This window comes from Homo sapiens, chromosome 2, assembly GCF_000001405.40.
Source record: "Homo sapiens chromosome 2, GRCh38.p14 Primary Assembly".
NCBI classification, from domain to species: Eukaryota; Metazoa; Chordata; class Mammalia; order Primates; family Hominidae; genus Homo; species Homo sapiens.
The window spans coordinates 150,343,396-150,361,247 of NC_000002.12; the positions used below are offsets into that span (position 1 = coordinate 150,343,396).

Sequence of the window (17,852 nt, forward strand, 5' to 3'; positions counted from 1 at the left end):
TTAAATTTGGACCAGAAAGAGCATCCTCTTACTAAAGACTCAGCCTGTAAACTGGAAAAAGAATCACGACTATTTTGGGGAGCAGCTGCCCTCAGAATTCTGATCATCCATCTTTAATTTTTTTTAATGACTAGATTGCAGATGACTTCAATCTTGCCCATAGGGATGCTGTGTTCCATTAACTGTCTCCATACATCTCTACAGATCAAGCTTTTCTGGCTGCCCCTCTGACTTTGCTGCTCATTATGAAATTGTGCCCACTTGGCTTCCCATTGTTAAGTACTGTCTCCTGGCCCCTAATATGGGATCCTGTCATCCCCATTGCTATCAGGAAGCCCAGTTCTATAAAAGTATTTCCAAAGGCTAGTCCAGGCCAATAGAGAATAGCCATCACTGTGCATCTCAAAGATGAGGGTGCCTCTCTCACCAATGCATTTCTTACTACTTTGGTAAGTGGAATATTTGCCAGGTTCTCTCTTGAAACAGAGTTGGCTACTGGACCTTCCAGCCTTATCTGCTGTATCCTCTTCAGTGTGCCTTTTCTGAGGCTTTGAGACCTTTTTCCACTGTCAGTCATGGCAGCTCTGGCATTTCTACTTCACTAAGCTTGGGCTGTCCATCACTGTCTCCTAGCTTCCAAGAGACATCCTATCTGAAAATTTCCCCAGTCTCCTGGTGACTTTGCCAGGGTATGTATTCCTGTATCATGAGGCAGTACTAACATATTGACAAAATGTTCCTTTTCTAACTTTCGTTCTGCTTCCCTTGATCAGCATCCGCATTCCCTTACATTACTCCCCTGGCTGGATTCTACAGCTTCTTTGTGGGATAGCCCCTTTCTCTCTTAGCAGACTCAGAACTTCCTCACTTGTATTAAGTTTTGACGTAACCACAGTTATTTTTCTGTGACCAGAAAGAGAGGTGAGGGTACATCCTGAAGGGAGTTCATAGTGTCTTGCAAGTCAAGACCCTCTGAATCATCTGCAAGCAGGGAAGAGGAGAAGCTAGCCTTTCACAGGGAGAAATCAGCCACTTCTGTGGAACGAGAAGGTATAGAAAGATTTGGGAGTTCAAGATTCTTTAGTGCATTGTCCCAGATTCCCCATCCCAATTTCAGAGTTTCATTCTTTTCCAATGAACACCCTAACCTTGGCTTGGCTAAATTGCTGAAGTTGAAAATTCAACTGTCTCTGGAATTCTGCTACTCTTGTAATGACGTTAGGGGCCTGATCCTCACCTTTCTCTGCTCTCTGGTTGCAGATGAAGATCTCTTTGTTTGCTGCCAAGGAGACCATCTGGTTTTCACACTTCATCTTGAATTGTTGATTCATCATCCTCAGCCTGTCATTATCTTTCTCCAATGCATCACTTGGCCCCAGCAACAATTTTCTAATTCTATAATTCTTTTATAAGCACTTCCCCAAACCTGGTTTGCCAGCTATGAAAGCTGTAACAGTTGTACCACTACAGCATGCCAGAGCTATCACTACCCCACTTACTAGGTGATGGGATGTATATTGCCAATCATCCAGTTCCAAAATGCCATTTAGTTTCTCCCTCCTAATGTCACTCCTGATACCCTATTGCATATCAGGTTTCTTGGAAAACAGACTTATATAGAGGTTTGCATTCAGGAAGTTCACTGGGGATCCCTCTCAGGGGCCACACCTGTGGGTGCATGAGTGAGGTAAGATTGAACAGAGAGAAGAGTCAAATTTGGAGCCATCACTTCATAAGTCTCGGGTGATCCCATAGTGAGCTGTCAAGCTGGGACAGTTTTTTATATTTGTCCCACCTTAAAGCAAGGGAGTAAGAGCTTTACACTCTTCCCTCAACCAGCTGCTCCTGGGAAGTGTGCTTCAGTGTAGACAAAACAGTTCTCTTCAGCTGAGAGCAGTTCTGAGAAAGAATGCATCCAGTACTCCCAGAGGCTAAGGGCAGGAGGGCTGGTCCTGAAGGGATCTGGGCAGCACACATTAGCCACTTGTAGATTCCTTTACGTAGGTAATATGTCTCACTCATACTCATAAAGTCAGCTCCTAGCATGGTGCACCTGACATATAGCAGTATAAAATACATGTGGTTGACTCAATGAAGGTATGTGGGATGGTGAGGGAAAGAAATAGACAGTGAGATGGAGATGAAATTTAGACATCTAGACATATTGATTTTAAGAGGCCATTTTGACTGTTTAGTATAGATGTTCAACAAACATATATATACAAATGAGCTTAAATCCAGAGGAAAGTTCATGGTTAAAGCAAGAGTTTGGGGGTCAGAATATAAATGTTATTAGAGCCCTTCTCCTTACTGATAGAACTGTAATTAAACAATAAAAGAATTTCTTAGTCTTGTTTGCAGATGGGTGTAGCTACGTGACAGAATTTTGTAAGTGTAGGTTATGGAGTGGAGATTCTTTCAATAATCCTAAGAAAGGTGACAGATTCAACTACTGTTTGTACTTTTCCTATGTTTCTGAGCCTGAGTATCTGTAGATTGGGCTGTTAGAGCTGCAGCAGTCCACAAAAGAAATGCCAACAGTCAGCAGCCCCCAACATCCCAGCTCAGGAAGGCTGACCTCAGGATTCCATCATACGAAAGAAAAATAAAAGCCTGTCCTGTGCACACCTCTCTTTTCAAATTCCCTATGTGCCAAATGCAATCTATAACTAATGAACTTGGATGAGATAGCCTCAGGAAAGAATTTGGAGTAGGGAAAGCAGATGCTGTGAGAAACTCTGGAGGAAACTAATGTGTGAGGAGTGAGTAAAAGAAGAACAGGCCATGAAGAAAACTAAGAAATCAGCTGTGGATGCAAGAGGAGGCCCTGAAGAGAGTGATATCATTGGCTGGGAGCGGTGGCTCACACCTGTAATCCCAGCGCTTTGGGAGGCCGAGACGGGCGGATCAGGAGGTCAGGAGATTGAGACCATCCTGGCTAACATGGTGAAACGCCGTCTCTACTAAAAATACAAAAAATTAGCCGGGCGTGGTGGCGGGCGCCCGTAGTCCTAGCTACTCGGGAGGCTGAGGCAGGAGAATGGCATGAACCTGGGAGGCGGAGGTTGCAGTGAGCCGAGATCACGCCACTGCGCTCCAGCCTGGGCGACAGAGTGAGACTCTGTCTCAAAAAAAAAAAAAAAAAAGAAAAAGAAAAAGAAAAAGAAAACAGAGTGATATCATTGAAGAGAAAAGCGTGCTAAATATTTTGAAATACGGCAGAACAGACTAATACTAATTAAAAATGCGTCCATTGGATTTGATATTTAGGAATCTATGTAGCTTTAGTGCGCCAATAGAGAAGGTAATTGATACATTCTTACTGGCATTGCTTAATACTGAACTTATCATGATGATTGATTTATTCAACAAATAATTATTGAGCACCAAGCAAGTACAAGGGACTATATGTACAATGATAATCAAAACAGACTGAATGCTTAGAGCCTTATAATTTGTAAAGATGCTTCCCATTCTCATAATGAGAGTGTGAACATTTACAGCTTTGCATTCTTGAAATGCCTGCTTTAAACATCCATCATGAAGTTCTTTAAACAATGACCACAATTCAGCCTATGTGACACAAATACTTACTCACAATCTTTCATACCTCATGGTAACCCAAATCTCTTCATCATTTTACAAATGCTGAAAGCAGCCATGGGGTAGAACTTGTGGTTGTGTCTTAGGGAAAGAGCAATGAAATTGGGTCATAAGGCAGTTATACCTACTCAATCACTCAGACGTGATTGGTCTTGTGCGACTCCATCCATATATATGAATAACTCAAGTGACGGAAAAGATGTGCGTGAATCAAATAACATCTAAATGTGTAGATAATGACAACAGGAATACTTACAAAGTGCTTTTGAAATAGAATAGACTACCCAGACTACCATCGATACATGTGTAACCTAATTTTTTTCATTTTCATTATTTTATCTATTATGTAAACAGTTAATTTGCAGGTCTAAAAATGAATCCAAATGCATAGCAAGTGGCACATCACAGTAACTTAAGCTCACTTTGGCAATTGTTGAATTTCACTTGCAGTGCATAGTAAAACAAAATGTTTCATGAAGTAGGTGTAGTTGCCCACATTTCATTGTGATGTGTGTACAAAAATCATATCCCACTTTAGGAGAATTGGTTGCTGGGCTTGAACTCTTTGACAGAATGAATGGATTTTCACTTGTTCCGCAGGCCACTCAGCACTGCAGATCAGTAACACCATTGATTTAGAGGCAGTTACAAAGCAAGTCAAAGCAACAATAGGAACTGGTTATTACAGGAAGAGAAAAAGAAGGGGGGTGGGGGTGCTGGAAAGATTTTTTTTAAATGAACCAGAAAATACATATTATTTTGCACACTGGGTTTCCTAGCCATAGGTCATAGTGGACAAGAGGAATGATGATGACAAAGAAAGATAAACATATTTCAACTGCTCCTAAGTACCTGTTTGAAATGGATAAGTGAGAATTTGTTTTATTAGGGTCACTATGGTTTCAATTTCTAACTCTTCTAACTCAACAGGAGCTTTCCCAAAGGGCTTCACAGAATACAAATGTGTTTCACAAGTTTTTAAAGATCTTGTTTCCTCAAGGTATTTTGTTGTCTTTGAGAAGTACGGAAGGCTTAGCACGGAGGAAAATTATGGTAGGACAACTTTCCTGGTCAACATTGAGCATTGTTACATGCTTACTTTGATATCTATGCGGGAGTTTTATTGAGTGCTGGTCACAAGCAATTAACAATAAATATTCAAAGAGGAATAGGTAAAATGTAATCATAATTTGGTATGACATACTCAACCTTAACAAATGACTAATATAAGGTATATATACCATATGGTGGTATGCTGTATATACAAATGACCAAAGGCAGAAAGAATTGAGCAAATTTCTTTCTAAAATATGTGTTTCTCTTAATACTTTCGTTAAAGATATTCCTTTAAGTAGATGAATTCAGTGAAATACCTAAAATCTTTAGGCATATCGAGTTTAGATTAACACTGGTTTCAAAGACTTTAAGGGATGCATTAGTGATAAGCCTACAGGTAAGCAAACAAACAAACAAACAAGAAAGACAATTGTTAATTTTAGGGAAAGAAAAGGGTTGCAATAAAGAGAGACTAATCACAGAATCCCATTGTGCTCAGGTGTAAACAGAGCATCATACCCAAAAAAATGCCAATGTGAAATACTTATTACTCAAAATAGTTTATAACTATATCTATGGGATGGGAGGAAGGTGATGGTATGTGTTTGTGTGTGTGTGTGTGTATGTGTGTGTGTATGTTCATACACACACACACGGAGTGGGGGTCAATAAATAATGCCTAACACTGAAAACAAAAATAGCAATATAAGCATACTACCAAGAAATATGATGGTAAGTATTAAGATAAATAGCTAACATTTTTGCAAGTTGTTGCCTCTGGAGAGCAGGAAGGTATTTGGAGACTGAGGTTTTCTTAGTGAGCTCTGGAAAATGATGTGACTCTTTAAAACCTGTAAGTATGTAATTTTGATAAAAATAATGACTTAAATCTAAAAATACATGTTACATCACAGTATGTCATAAAAATATATCCGCTTTTATATATTTAAGAGATTTATAAGGATTAATTACAGTTAATAATTCTTATTTCTGGGGAGTGGGATTATGGCAATGGGGAGAGGAGGGAAGGGCTTTTACATATTTCAGTAGATTTGATTTTTTGAATGAGCATATGTTATTTTTCAGAAGTTAAGTTTCTACATAAATAAAAATGTGTATACATTAAAATGAAAATAAAGCACATTATGAATTAAATAATTTCATTTATATTAGGGCTTATTTGTACACTATCATAAATGATATACATGAATTTCAAAACTCAAAGAAATTGAATTACACATTTATAATTTGGAGACTGGTTTAGGGAAGACATAACAGTAAGATACACAGGAACAAAGTCAGATCAAGTAGCTTATTTGACAAGGTTAAGTGAGATCATTACACACATTGTACATTTTAAAGTGCGCATTGTACATTTCAAAGTGCAGAACCAATGAATGTATAAATTATCACACCTGGAGCAGATGTAGGCAAATAGTAAACCACAAAGAGGCAAATGGCAGCCCAGAGACATGCTCTTTTCAAGATGACCCAGAACCACTCGGAGACTTTTAGGATTGATTATCATTCAAATATATACCCAGACAGCTAAATGCTTGGCATGGTATGTCTTAGTATCAAGTGTAACATTTAAATTAAGTTCAACTTCCCTAAGTTATGATTAATTATTCTGTGAGAAGCATATATGGTTATCTAGGTTGCTCAGAGAACTGATTGAGTACAGCCAAGTTTCTTGCTCTGATCCCTAAGTCAGCTGCCTGGCTTGGTTCTATGCCTTAACTATAGACCTTACTCTCAAACCCAACAGTCTTAGAACCGCATACCCTGGGCCACAAAGGAGATTAGACAGGGAAGTGTGGTTAATCTGTGTAAATCCATTCACTCTATCAGATAAAAGTTCAAATAATGTTCCACTATGTTAGGTAACTAGCAACATATTTATGAATAGGCAACATATTACTATCTCATCTTGACATTGTTTTACTCCTGCTGCTGGGGATTGCAGCTCTTAGAATATTTCTGCTTTTTCCAAGCTAAGGTACTTAGAATCTCAAACTTGGAAGAAACCCAATAGGTCATTTGATCCACTCCACTGCATGATGCAGAACTTTTCTCTACAGCATCGTTGGAAAAATAATTTAGTCTCTGCTTGATCATTACTGGTGACTGACGGGGTGGGTAGTACTCCTCATGTCAAATGGACATTAACTTTACTCTTGGACAGTCATCATTGTTAAAAGTTCTCCTATTGAAGAGCCCAAGGATTCTAGTTTTGTTATCTGGCAGAACATGGAATAATTTTAATCTTTCTCTGATTTGTGTGTAGACCCATGCTCTTATATGCCTTTTCTGTTTCTGACAAAAAAAAACAAAGCACATTTTTTAACCATTTCCAAAGGTCTGCTTTTCATTTTTGTTATGATCTTGATATGTTCCGGGTTGCCAGTTCCTAGCAACACCTTTCCCTCTGAAAAGGTGATAACCTGATCTATAGAAGTCTCAAGATGTGGTCCACCTTGGACGATAACCCTCTTGCTCTCTTCAATTTCTTGCTTGTGTACTTCTATGGAAACACCACAAGGAAGACGCACCACTGGCTGCTGTAATCCCAGTGTGGTTTAAGTTGGTGTCCTGAATCTTACCCTGTCCTTTCCTCTGGGGTATAAAAACCACCAGGGCCAGGGCAATAAATCAAGGACCCAGTTGAAATATCGAGCCTATTTTGAGAAAGTGAATAACTCCAGGATAGCTAACAAGTTATTCTATGAGTCATGTACTTCCAAATTATTGCTGTCAACAAAACTGAGAGAGGAGTTAATCCAGTTATCAAAGGATAGATCATTAGAAACGAGTTTTTATGATAAATTCCCATGCAGTTATGCCATTCAGAAACTGTGAAAGAAATTGGGTGATGTTTTTATAATAAAACTTCTTCCATTCTCATCTATTTATTTATATAAATAGGTTTTCTTAGTGTTTACAACCATAAAAACAAGAAAATCAATAATGCTAAGGCTGAATACTATTTCATTCTAGCAATAAATATTTGTCGATGAATTTATAAAATAATTTTATAAAATCTCAATTTACTTTATCAAGAAATACATATCCACTACAATTTTGCTTTTTATGCCTAATAAATATGTATTTAAATTTGTAATAAATGTATGCTATTTTTGTCAATTATATGCTAATAATAATTGTCAATTCAATCTGGAATATTTTAAACACCGAAAGGCTTATGTTGATAAGAATATTTTTAATTTATATATAAATGTGTATACATATTATTTTTAAACTGTTATAGCATGATTAATAGAAGACTTTGGAACAAAAAATATAAAAAATGAAATATATGAGTTGTCATAAAAAATCAGCAACATAAAATTTCATATGATGAAAGAGGAGCAATTTCCTGTATTTTGTAAATGATTATACATATCAGATTATTAAATTATCTAAAGTCCATTAGATACCTTTTAAATATTGAAGTAACCATTTTGTTTTTAAATGTCAATGTTATCAATATGCCAGAAATTATATTCTTTGGAACTATTTTAAGAATTATATCCTGCAAAACTATGTATGATCAAAATGCATAGTTGTCCAACCAAAACTGTATGAAGGAATATATATATTTTAGGGGGGTGGGGGGCAGGGTCTTGCTCTGTCACCCAGGCTGGAGTGCAGTGGTACCATCACGCCTCACTGCAGCCTCGAACTCCCGGGCTCAAAAGAGCCTCCCACCTCAGCCTCCTGAGTAGCTGGGACTACAGGCATGTGCCACCACACCCGGCTAATTTTTGCATTCGTTTTAGAGATGGGGTTTTGGCATATTGCCCAGGCTGGTCTCAAATTCCTGGGCCCAAGCAATCTGCCCGCTTCAACCCCCAAAAGTGCTAGGATTACAGGCATGAGCAACCACACCCAGTCTCTTTTTAAAAATCAAATTAAACATTTTTTAAATGAAATTTTAAGTTGTTTTTCCCTTTTATGAGCAAAAGAGTTGAATATCACTTCCCCAAGTCTTCCACTAAGAAACCTGTTGCTACTCACTCTGGACTATCTGGCAGGGAAACTATTTGGAGGAGTGTCTCAACCACTTAATCCTTTAGAGCCCTTGGTTGGAGGTGAGGTACTGGGAGCTAAAGCAATACACTTACTAGTCAGGACTGGGTGAAAATGGAGAGATAGGGCAGTGCCAACAATAGTAAAAACAGACTTATATGTAGCTCACCTCATTACTCTTGCATACTGCCATAGACCATGCCTACTAGACTTTCCTAATGGTATGAAACTGATATTTCCCCCATTTACAATATAAGAGTCAAGTATTTGACATTTCCACTTCAGATAAAAAAATGCTTTAAGCATAGTTCCAGCAAAATATATATTTCACCTACTCATATGTGTTTTAAATTGTCAAAGGTTTAATGACTGCCAGAATTTCATTTGTGGGCTCTCCACGGCCAATTTTAGTCATGCTGCACTTAAATGATTGAAACCACTCCTTGCTTATTGATTTTTCATACCATGTGAAATGAAACCCTGTCTCTAGCGGAGTTTTGGAAAAGCAAATAGAGATGCTGCTACAACCTTTGATTTAATTTGAGGGCTTCATTTCCTGCCTGATTGAGCTCATGTACTTTTATGAAAAATTATTCAGCCTCATCAGAATAGCGTTATGAGTCAGTCCTTTGTGGAAAACTAGAGTGAGGGCACAAAGCCTCTCCCACCGAACAGAAAAGGATGTCCGATTTACCAGGGAGAGAATGTGGCCTGGAAGAAATGGGCTCAGGTACGCTCTGCGGAAGAGCAATGGCTTTGTCTTCAGAAAAGGCTGAAGCTTCATTTGGCAACCAATAGAAAAATGACTTTCAGAGATTACTTTGCTTTCACCAAATTTTGCAATTGCTTTTAAATGAAACTTTTCATGACTTCAGCCATTTCTAGGCTTGGCTATATCTGGGCAAGTTCATAGATACAAATTACACATATTTATTATAAGTTCATATAAAAATTGTATCTCTATTAAATATATAATTATATTAAACTATATATCATATATAAATGTTAATATATAATTTATATATGAATATGTACTTGTATATTAATATATAAAATATATATTAGATATATTTCATATATAAATATAGTTTTATATATAAATAAAGTAAAAATATTACATTTTTCTTTTCTTAGCACCAATATAACCACACCATCGCTGGAATTATAAAAATACCAAGAAAATTTCTGTTGATAATGGATTAATGGAATCATAGACTTTTAGAGTTGAACATTTGAGTTTATCCAGTGCCTGGTTCCAGATGAGGTGAACAGAGGCTCAGTGAGTTCCAATTGCCTGGTTAAAGATGATAATGGCAAAACTAGGGTTGGAATCCCAGTTCTGCTACTTCTACTGGCTCTGCTAGTCAACTGTTTTTTATACCCTTTGTTTCTTTCGTCTTTGGGTATGAAAGAAATGTGTTGTTAAAATAATGAGAGTCTTCTCTTCCTCTGGCAGTTCTGTTCATTAGCAAATCTTACCAGACAATTCAACTCCCTTCTTTCCTGCCACTTCCACAGTACGGAACAAAGAACCTAAGTAGTCCCCTTTTAAGTCACCATTGCAATTAGAGGTCCTTATGTTACATAGATCTAGACTATAAAATGCAAATAATGTCTGCCATGGACTCAAGAAAAGACTTTTGCCTTTTTGGATAAAAGATATGTAGAACTACCATTGTCTTTTTCTTTTTTCCTACCTTGAGCACAAATTTGCAATGCAAAGCTGAATCAACCATCTTGGGAAGTGATAAACATGAAGAAATATCCAAGAAAATTATAGAAATGCCCTAACAAGTTTGAGCCACAGAACCATCACCAACAACTGCCTATTTCCAGATTTCTAGTGATACAAGAAAAAAAACCTCCCTTTGTTTAGACACTTTATTTGTATTTTCTATTCCCTGTAGCAAAAACATTCCTTACTAACATTTCTATTTCTCATTTTGTGCATAAATGCATATTCCATAAAGGAGAGCCAAGATACCCACCTTGGAGCCCAAGCTGAGGGTAAGTGTATGCCAAATGGCTTAGGCCACCTGATGGAATTTGGGAAGTGTGTCCTCTGCATCCGCTACCCATCTTTCTGAGTTCTCTGCTTTCAAACTCACTCCCCATAGAGGGTTAAATAGTGACTCCCAAAAGATATGTTCAAATCCTAACCCTTGGTACCTGTGAATATGACTTTATTTGAAAATAGGATATTACAAAAGTAATCAAGTTAAAAATCTCAAGATGAGATCATCCTGGATTTAAGGTGGACTCTAAATCCAATGACTAGTGTTCTGACACGAGAAGGGAGAGGGGGATTTGATACACTCAGTGTCAAAAAGCAATAGGCCGCGTGAAGATGAGGGCTGAGAATGGAGGGCAGCCACAAGCCATGGAACACCAAGGATTGTCAGCAGCCACAGGAAGCTGGGAGAGAGCCATGGAACTGATTCTCCCCCGATGACTTTCAAGGGCGCATCGCCCTGCTGACATCCTGATTTCAGACTTTTACCTCGCGAACTGTGAGAGAATAGAGTTCTGTTGTTTTAAGCCACTGTTTGTGGAAGTTTGTTACGACAGCCCTTGAAAACTAATACACTCCCAAAGATGCGCAGTGCTTCGATGCTGCAGAAGAACAGCCTAAAATAGGAAAGGTGACCTACACTTAACACTTCAGGTGGGAAAAACATGTTGCTAAAATGGTGGGATCCCACGCATTAGTAGGATGCCCTCTAAATCATGTTCAGAGCACAAGCAAGGCTGCTCTGGCAGACTTTTAAGTTTTTCACAAAATCCATACTCTGGAACATAGCATAGGACTGAAAGGACTGGCAATATAACGGAAACCTGTCATTTCACTAACACCTTAGGAGTTACCTGCATTTTCCTTATAAGGACAATGAAGGCAAGGAGCAGGCATGTTACCAGAAAGGGGTCGCGATCCAGACCCCAAGAGAGGGTTCTGAGATCTCATGCAAGAAACAATTTGGGGTGAGTCCACAGAGTAAAGTGAAAGCAAGTTTATTATTAGAGAGGTAAAGAAACAAAAGAATGGCTGCTCCATAGACAGAGCAGCACTGAGGGCTGCTGATTGGCTACTTTTATGGTCATTGCTTGATCATATGCTAAACAAGGGGTGGATTATTCATGAGTTTTCTGGAAAAGGGGTGGGGATTTTCTGGAACTGAGGGCTCCTCCCCCTTTTAGACTATATAGGGTCCCTTCCAGACGTCGTCATGGCATTTGTAAACTATTATGGCATTGATGGGAATGTCTTTCAGTATGCTAATGCATTACAATTATTTCAGTGCCATCTTGGTTTTGATACGTTTTGGTGCATCTTATTTTATCAACAGGGTATTTTCGATGTGTATCTTGTGGAACCAGTCCTGCCAATCTCATCCAGTGACTAAAAATGCCTAACCTCCTGGGAATGGAGGTCAAGCAAGTTTCAGCCTCATTTTACACAACACCTATTCAAGATGGAGGTGCTCTGGTTCAAATCACTCTGACAAGCAGTCACTACCCCTGCCCCAAAGCCAAGCATTGTAGGGAATCTTATCTGGTAACAAAGAGTTGATCTGAAGTGATGTTTGAAAATGAGTGGGGTGGTTGTTTGTTGAATCAGTGAGACAATGAGTAGGGAATGAGGGAGACTGTCATTTAATTGGTAAAGACCAGAGGTGCTAATTGTTCTGCAATTCCATAGCATTTCACTCAGCATTCCACAAAATCAAGCATGCTCCCTCCCGAAATATTCACATCGCCCCACTGAGAAACTGCCCCAGAGCACCCTGGGGAAGCTCAGCTTTGCATTCCCACTTCTATTAGACAGCCTTTGTGACACACACACCTTGTCCCTGTGAACATGGTGAATGGAAATTATCTTCTCCACATTAACTTTGAATACATGGGCCAAGGAAATGGCCCTAGGTGTATACCAGTCCTGCTTCTTTCTCACTCCTTGGCTAGAGAAAGAAAGAATTTAGCAAATTCATCATTAGTCAAGAATAAGGGGCTGCATTTTGTTTTAAAAATCCTCTCCTTCCATTTTCAATTCTAGTACAGGCCATATCAGAATTATAATTAATGAAATAAATGTTAATTCAAATTATCTATATTTAATGAGTTCATGATTCATTAACTTGAAAAGAATCCATTTGTTTGCATAAAATGAATCTCAATGATGGAACTATATAATTATTTAGTATGAATGATGATAGTGCACTTAATAAAATTAGAACAATTTTTTGGTTAATGTTACAGATTAGGATTAATTAATACTAGTTATATGTAATTAATACTAGTTATATGTAATAGTTTTATATATTATATATGTAAATTATACTATTAAAATAATTAAAATCTTCCAATGTGATTCTAATAAAATTGTAGAACTCTATTCTTACTCTTATAGTAAAAGTTTTCCAAATCACCAAAATGAAACAGTAAGTTAAAATTGTATTCCTGCTATCAAATCTACTTCCTTAAGAACAGCTGTATTTGGCAAGGAAAGGTTCAGTGGTTTTATTTCATTTATGTTGACATAATATTCTCAATGAAAACAATCACTTCAAAGTGTATATCATGCTCTTAAGAAACAAATACTAATATGGTAATTTTATAGAAAGAGAACACTGTAATGGCAATTTTTGCCTCCTAGAAATAAGCAGCAAGGTAAAGAAAGAAGGAAGTAACTGACAAACTTATTCCAAGACAATTGCTAGCTCCTAGAGACATCATTTGCCTCAATTATTTTCTTTTCCTACATAGACAAAAGGGTTCCCTTTTAGAATTACTAAAAACCGGTTGCCACAGCCATCGGTATTTTCAGTCATCTTATTCCAGACAAGACAACTATTTTGTCTTAACAGAAGCTTTGGATTAACAGAGCATTTATTTTACTATGAGGCTTCAAAAATAAGCAATTCTGCATTACTGTCCAAAAGAGAGAGGCTAATTTATACCAAGTAAAACTGAGGTATGGAAACAAAAAATGACATGGCTCAGTCAGCTACAAGACTGGGATTAGAACACAGGAATCCTTCCTCAATGATCCGTCATTAAAATACTAGAAAGTTCCTTCGGGAAAAGTGGGAAGAAAAAGAGAAATCCATAAGAAAAAGAAATATTTGGTACACATATGGCAAATGTTACTCATTGAAAAACTCAGGCAAAAAACGCCATGATTTTTCTAGAAAACTTGACCTCTAAGTCTGCTTATGGATAAAGAGATTTTCTTCTGGCTCCACTGCCATCCAGGATTGTTTTGGGCCAATATCCTTCAGACCATGTCCATCCAAGTCCAGATATGTTCAACAGTAATGGGTCATAAGCCCCTAGTAAGGGAATTCACAAAGCCTTCTGTAAATGGGGCCTTTTCTCAATAGGGTGAGCCACATGTTGATGTGGAAAAATAACGTACAGCTTTGAAATTGTGCCTAGTAAATTAGGTGGTCACAGAAAGGTTAAATAGAGAATATATATTCTCTAAAAATATACATTGGTGTCTATGTTATTTGGATTTCCTAACTGTAACTATATTAATGAATAAATTCCAAATATCCATTTTAGGGGCACTGTGCAGACTTAGCTTTAAGTCTGGTATAGACATAAGAAGTAAATTGAGTCAGAACACAAAAAATCCCTTTCATGTGGTAGTTTATGAAAGGGATAGAATTCATCATTCCGTGTACAATATAACAAGTACACTAAGCTTTTCTTCCCCGAGCTTTTCTGAGTATTGCCAAGATTTCTATTAATTTACATATGGTAGACAATATGTGATTGATTTATTGATTGGTTGGTTAATTAGTTTATTCATTCATCCATTCATTCAACAAATATTGATTGAGAACCTTCCATGGAAAAAGCTTGGGTGAAAACAAACATGAAGAGTACACAGTACTTTGTCCTTAAGCTCCTAGCTGGTTGAGGAGACAGACAATAATAGATGATTAGTAACAGTGCAATCATGATCCATTCTGGGGCAGTGGTATAAAGATGCATAGGGGAAGATAGTCAACCCTGCTTGGGCAAATCAGTTTTTCCAGAAAGGAGATATATTTCAACTAGAATAAGGAGAAAGAAGAAATGAGATTGGAGATAAAGGAACTCCAGACAGAAAAAAATGCCACAATAAGCCATGAAAGTATGAAGTAATACTAGATTGCAAATTCAGAGGATTTTTCATGGGCGAGGTGCTGTTGTAAGCAGTTTCATGTATTGACTCATTTAATTTTCAAAACAACCCTATGAGGTGAGTGCATTTCTTTTTATAGGTTACAAAACTCAGGTCTAGAAAGGCTAAGTCACTCCCCTGAGATTTCAGGGGTGGTGATGGCACAGCTGGGGTTTCAGCCCCAGTAGTCTGACCTCAGAACCCCCATGGTCCAACACCACACTTCTGTTTCTGAGTCTCGATATAGAAGAATCGTGTGATGTAGCAAAAGCATCATCTGCATGAAGAAATATAGAAGGAGCCAACACCAGAAAGGCAGTGCAGGGGCAGTACATCACAGTCTCCAGGCCTCCACAGCTGACAAGCTAAGATAGCCAGAGCATAGCAGCTTGTAGAAACAGCCATTGTGTGTTGCTCCACTATCATGAAGGCCAGAGAACAAAAAGCAACTATGGAAGAACATTAATCACCTGCCTTACGTTGTTCTAATTACCTGTACAGATGAATGAGTCTCAACCACCTTACTCTTGTAACACTGGTTTTTGTTCTTTTGTCACATTTTTATTCTCTAGCCAGCCTCCCTCAAGTGTTATATGACACGTATTTATTTTCAATACAGATGTTGTATTGGGAATATTATGACACTGCTTAACATATCAGGAGATAGCCTGAGGTGTGACAGTTACCAATATGGATGGTGCAGGGGTTTCATTGCTCCATTTCTCCTAGCGTAACACACATGCCCATGGTTCTCCTTTGCTGTAGGCATTTCTCTTTCTAATTCACATTAAAAGCAGCCTCAGCCAATGGAGCACGTGAAGTCTGCTGTTGCACGGTGTCAACAGAGCCCTGGCACAACTCAGTTCCAGTCATCGTTTCCCTTTGGAAACTGTATGTGTCTGGTGCAGCCCCTAGATTATAAGGGGTCTAAAGCAAATGGCTGGTGTCTAGGCTTTATGCTGCAAATGTGTCCCGGGTGTTTTGTGTGAAAAGCAGCAAATTGAGAAAAGATGTCAGACACCTGGGATTTTTATCAGTGGACTTTGAGGGCAAAAGTGTCCTCTGGGGTCCCTGGACCTACAGAGTTGGACAGTATGATCACGGTGACCCTGGTAATGAAGTTAGCTTACACATATCTGAGCACTTGAAATTTGCTTTTGTTCTATGCCTACTAGTAGATCAATACATTTTCATTTTTGTTTGTTTTTGCTTCCTTCCATTCTGGGTAGAAATGTCTCTAGGGTGTTAAATGTATAGAAGATAAGAGCTTGCAAGATGAAGAGCCAAAGAGCTTTTTTTTTTCTTTTTTCTTTTTTTTTTTTTTCCTCAAAGACCGGGTCTTGCTCTGTCACCCAGGCTTGGAGTGCAGTGATACAATCATGGCTCACTGCAGCTTCTAATTCCTGGGCTGAAGTTATCTTCCCATCTCAGCCTCCTGAATAGCTGGAACTACAGGCATGCACCACCACACCCAGCTAATTTTTATGTATTATTTTTATTTATTTTTGTTGAGACAGTGTCTCACTGTTTTGGCCAGAGTGGTCATGAACTCTTGGCCTCAAGCCATCCTCCTGCTTTGGCCTCCCATATCCTTGGAATTAAAGGTGTGAGCCACCACACTTAGCCTGCTGGGGTTTTTTTCTAGCTTCTTTAAGACTGACCCTTCTTTGAACCCTAATTTTGAAGATGAGGAAGCGAGAGAAAGAAGGAGAGAAAAAGAGAGAAAAGGAGAGAAAACAGTCTTCCTATTAGGGCAGCTTACAATGTCTCTATGTCTGTCACCTTGAAGCCTGAGGGTCATCTGGCCACAACTCAAAGCCACATACCTGATCTCTTGGTCTAAGGCTCCAGGTAAAGACCCAGAAAAGACAGAGCCAAGCTCTCAGAAAATACTAGAGGAACAAACATGCCAGCTCCTCTAGCACCCTGCCCTTAGCTATTTCTCATACCTCTCTCATCCTTACAGCACTTGTAGCAGGAGCTGCATTTTGGTTGCTGACTTTGAGAGGAATGGAAATGCATGCCTTCTTTCTGCTCAAGGATAGTGGGAGAGTGCTATATATTCAACACTTGTCAAAAGTCATGATGGATGGGAGACTGCATCAGAATCAAAGCATGATGCTACCTCCTGTAAGAAGCCTTCAATGATTTCCCATATTTGCTTTATTATTTTTAGCTACCATTTCTCATGCATTTATATTGTTGGCAACTGAAATTCTTTATGTGTTTTATCTCCCTTAATTTAATCTTCAAAACAACTTGGTGAGATAGGCATAAATATTCTTCATTTAGGATCTTGGAACGTTTAAAGTGATCAGGGCAAGAGCACATCAACACTGTTTAAGTTACAGAGCTGAGATTCAGGCTCCAAAGTCAATGCTTTTAGCCACTCAGTTACACTTCCTGGAACTCAATGAAGAAAGCATCATGCCACTCTCTTGGTTCTATGATGTTCTGCCTTGTATTATTTGGGGGGATTACTTTTTCAAAATACTATAATAAAAACTATTCGTGATTTGGAATTAAATAAAATTTCTGCGTTGGAGCCCCAAGTTTGCTGCTTACTAGATACACAAACTTTGGGAAGTGCACCTGAACTCCCAGAATCTCCATTGCTGCTTCTGCCAATATAATAACCTCATAAAGTGGTTGGGGCCAGCACATGGGTACTCGATGCATCTACATAACAGAGGTGTGTTTTCAACTTTTTCTGTCCTTCACAGCACCTACTATAACACTTAGTTACAGAATGTGCTAAAAAATTTCCTCAAATTGGATTGAAATTTTAATACTGAGAGATAAAGTTATTAGACTTATGTAACATCCTTATTACTAGGTATTTTTGCCGTGTGGTTTGGACTGGGCTTTTTATGTTTGATGTTCCCTATATACTTAGTCACTCATTCAGGAGTTCGAGACCAGCCTGGCCAACATAGTGAAACACTGTTTCTACTAAAAATACAAAAATTAGCCGGGTGTGGTGGTGTGCGCCTGT

The 17,852-nt window shown here is 38.3% G+C and overlaps 1 long non-coding RNA gene across 2 annotated transcripts in view, besides 2 other annotated features; it reads left to right on the forward strand.

The window, feature by feature from the left end:
• Positions 1 to 12,796, forward strand: part of LINC01818 (long intergenic non-protein coding RNA 1818) — a 186,703-nt gene extending 173,907 nt beyond the window's left edge. For both annotated transcript variants that reach the window (NR_187171.1, NR_187172.1), the window contains 2 exons: positions 10,659 to 10,695; positions 12,033 to 12,796. This is a non-coding gene — a long non-coding RNA (long intergenic non-protein coding RNA 1818). The remainder of the gene's footprint in view (positions 1 to 10,658; positions 10,696 to 12,032) is intronic.
• Positions 63 to 1,262: an enhancer, noted in NCBI's record as "BRD4-independent group 4 enhancer chr2:151199972-151201171 (GRCh37/hg19 assembly coordinates)". NCBI's record gives its function as "activates an origin of replication core promoter dependent on BRD2, P300/CBP, MED14 and CDK7 cofactors, and independent of BRD4, by STARR-seq in HCT116 cells {active_cell/tissue: HCT116}" and the evidence as "EXISTENCE:reporter gene assay evidence [ECO:0000049][PMID:35650434]".
• Positions 12,068 to 12,570: an enhancer, noted in NCBI's record as "NANOG hESC enhancer chr2:151211977-151212479 (GRCh37/hg19 assembly coordinates)". NCBI's record gives its function as "activates a minimal SCP1, AML or CMV promoter by ChIP-STARR-seq in naive H9 embryonic stem cells {active_cell/tissue: H9 hESC(naive)}" and the evidence as "EXISTENCE:reporter gene assay evidence [ECO:0000049][PMID:30033119]".
• Positions 12,797 to 17,852: the final 5,056 nt, after the last annotated feature.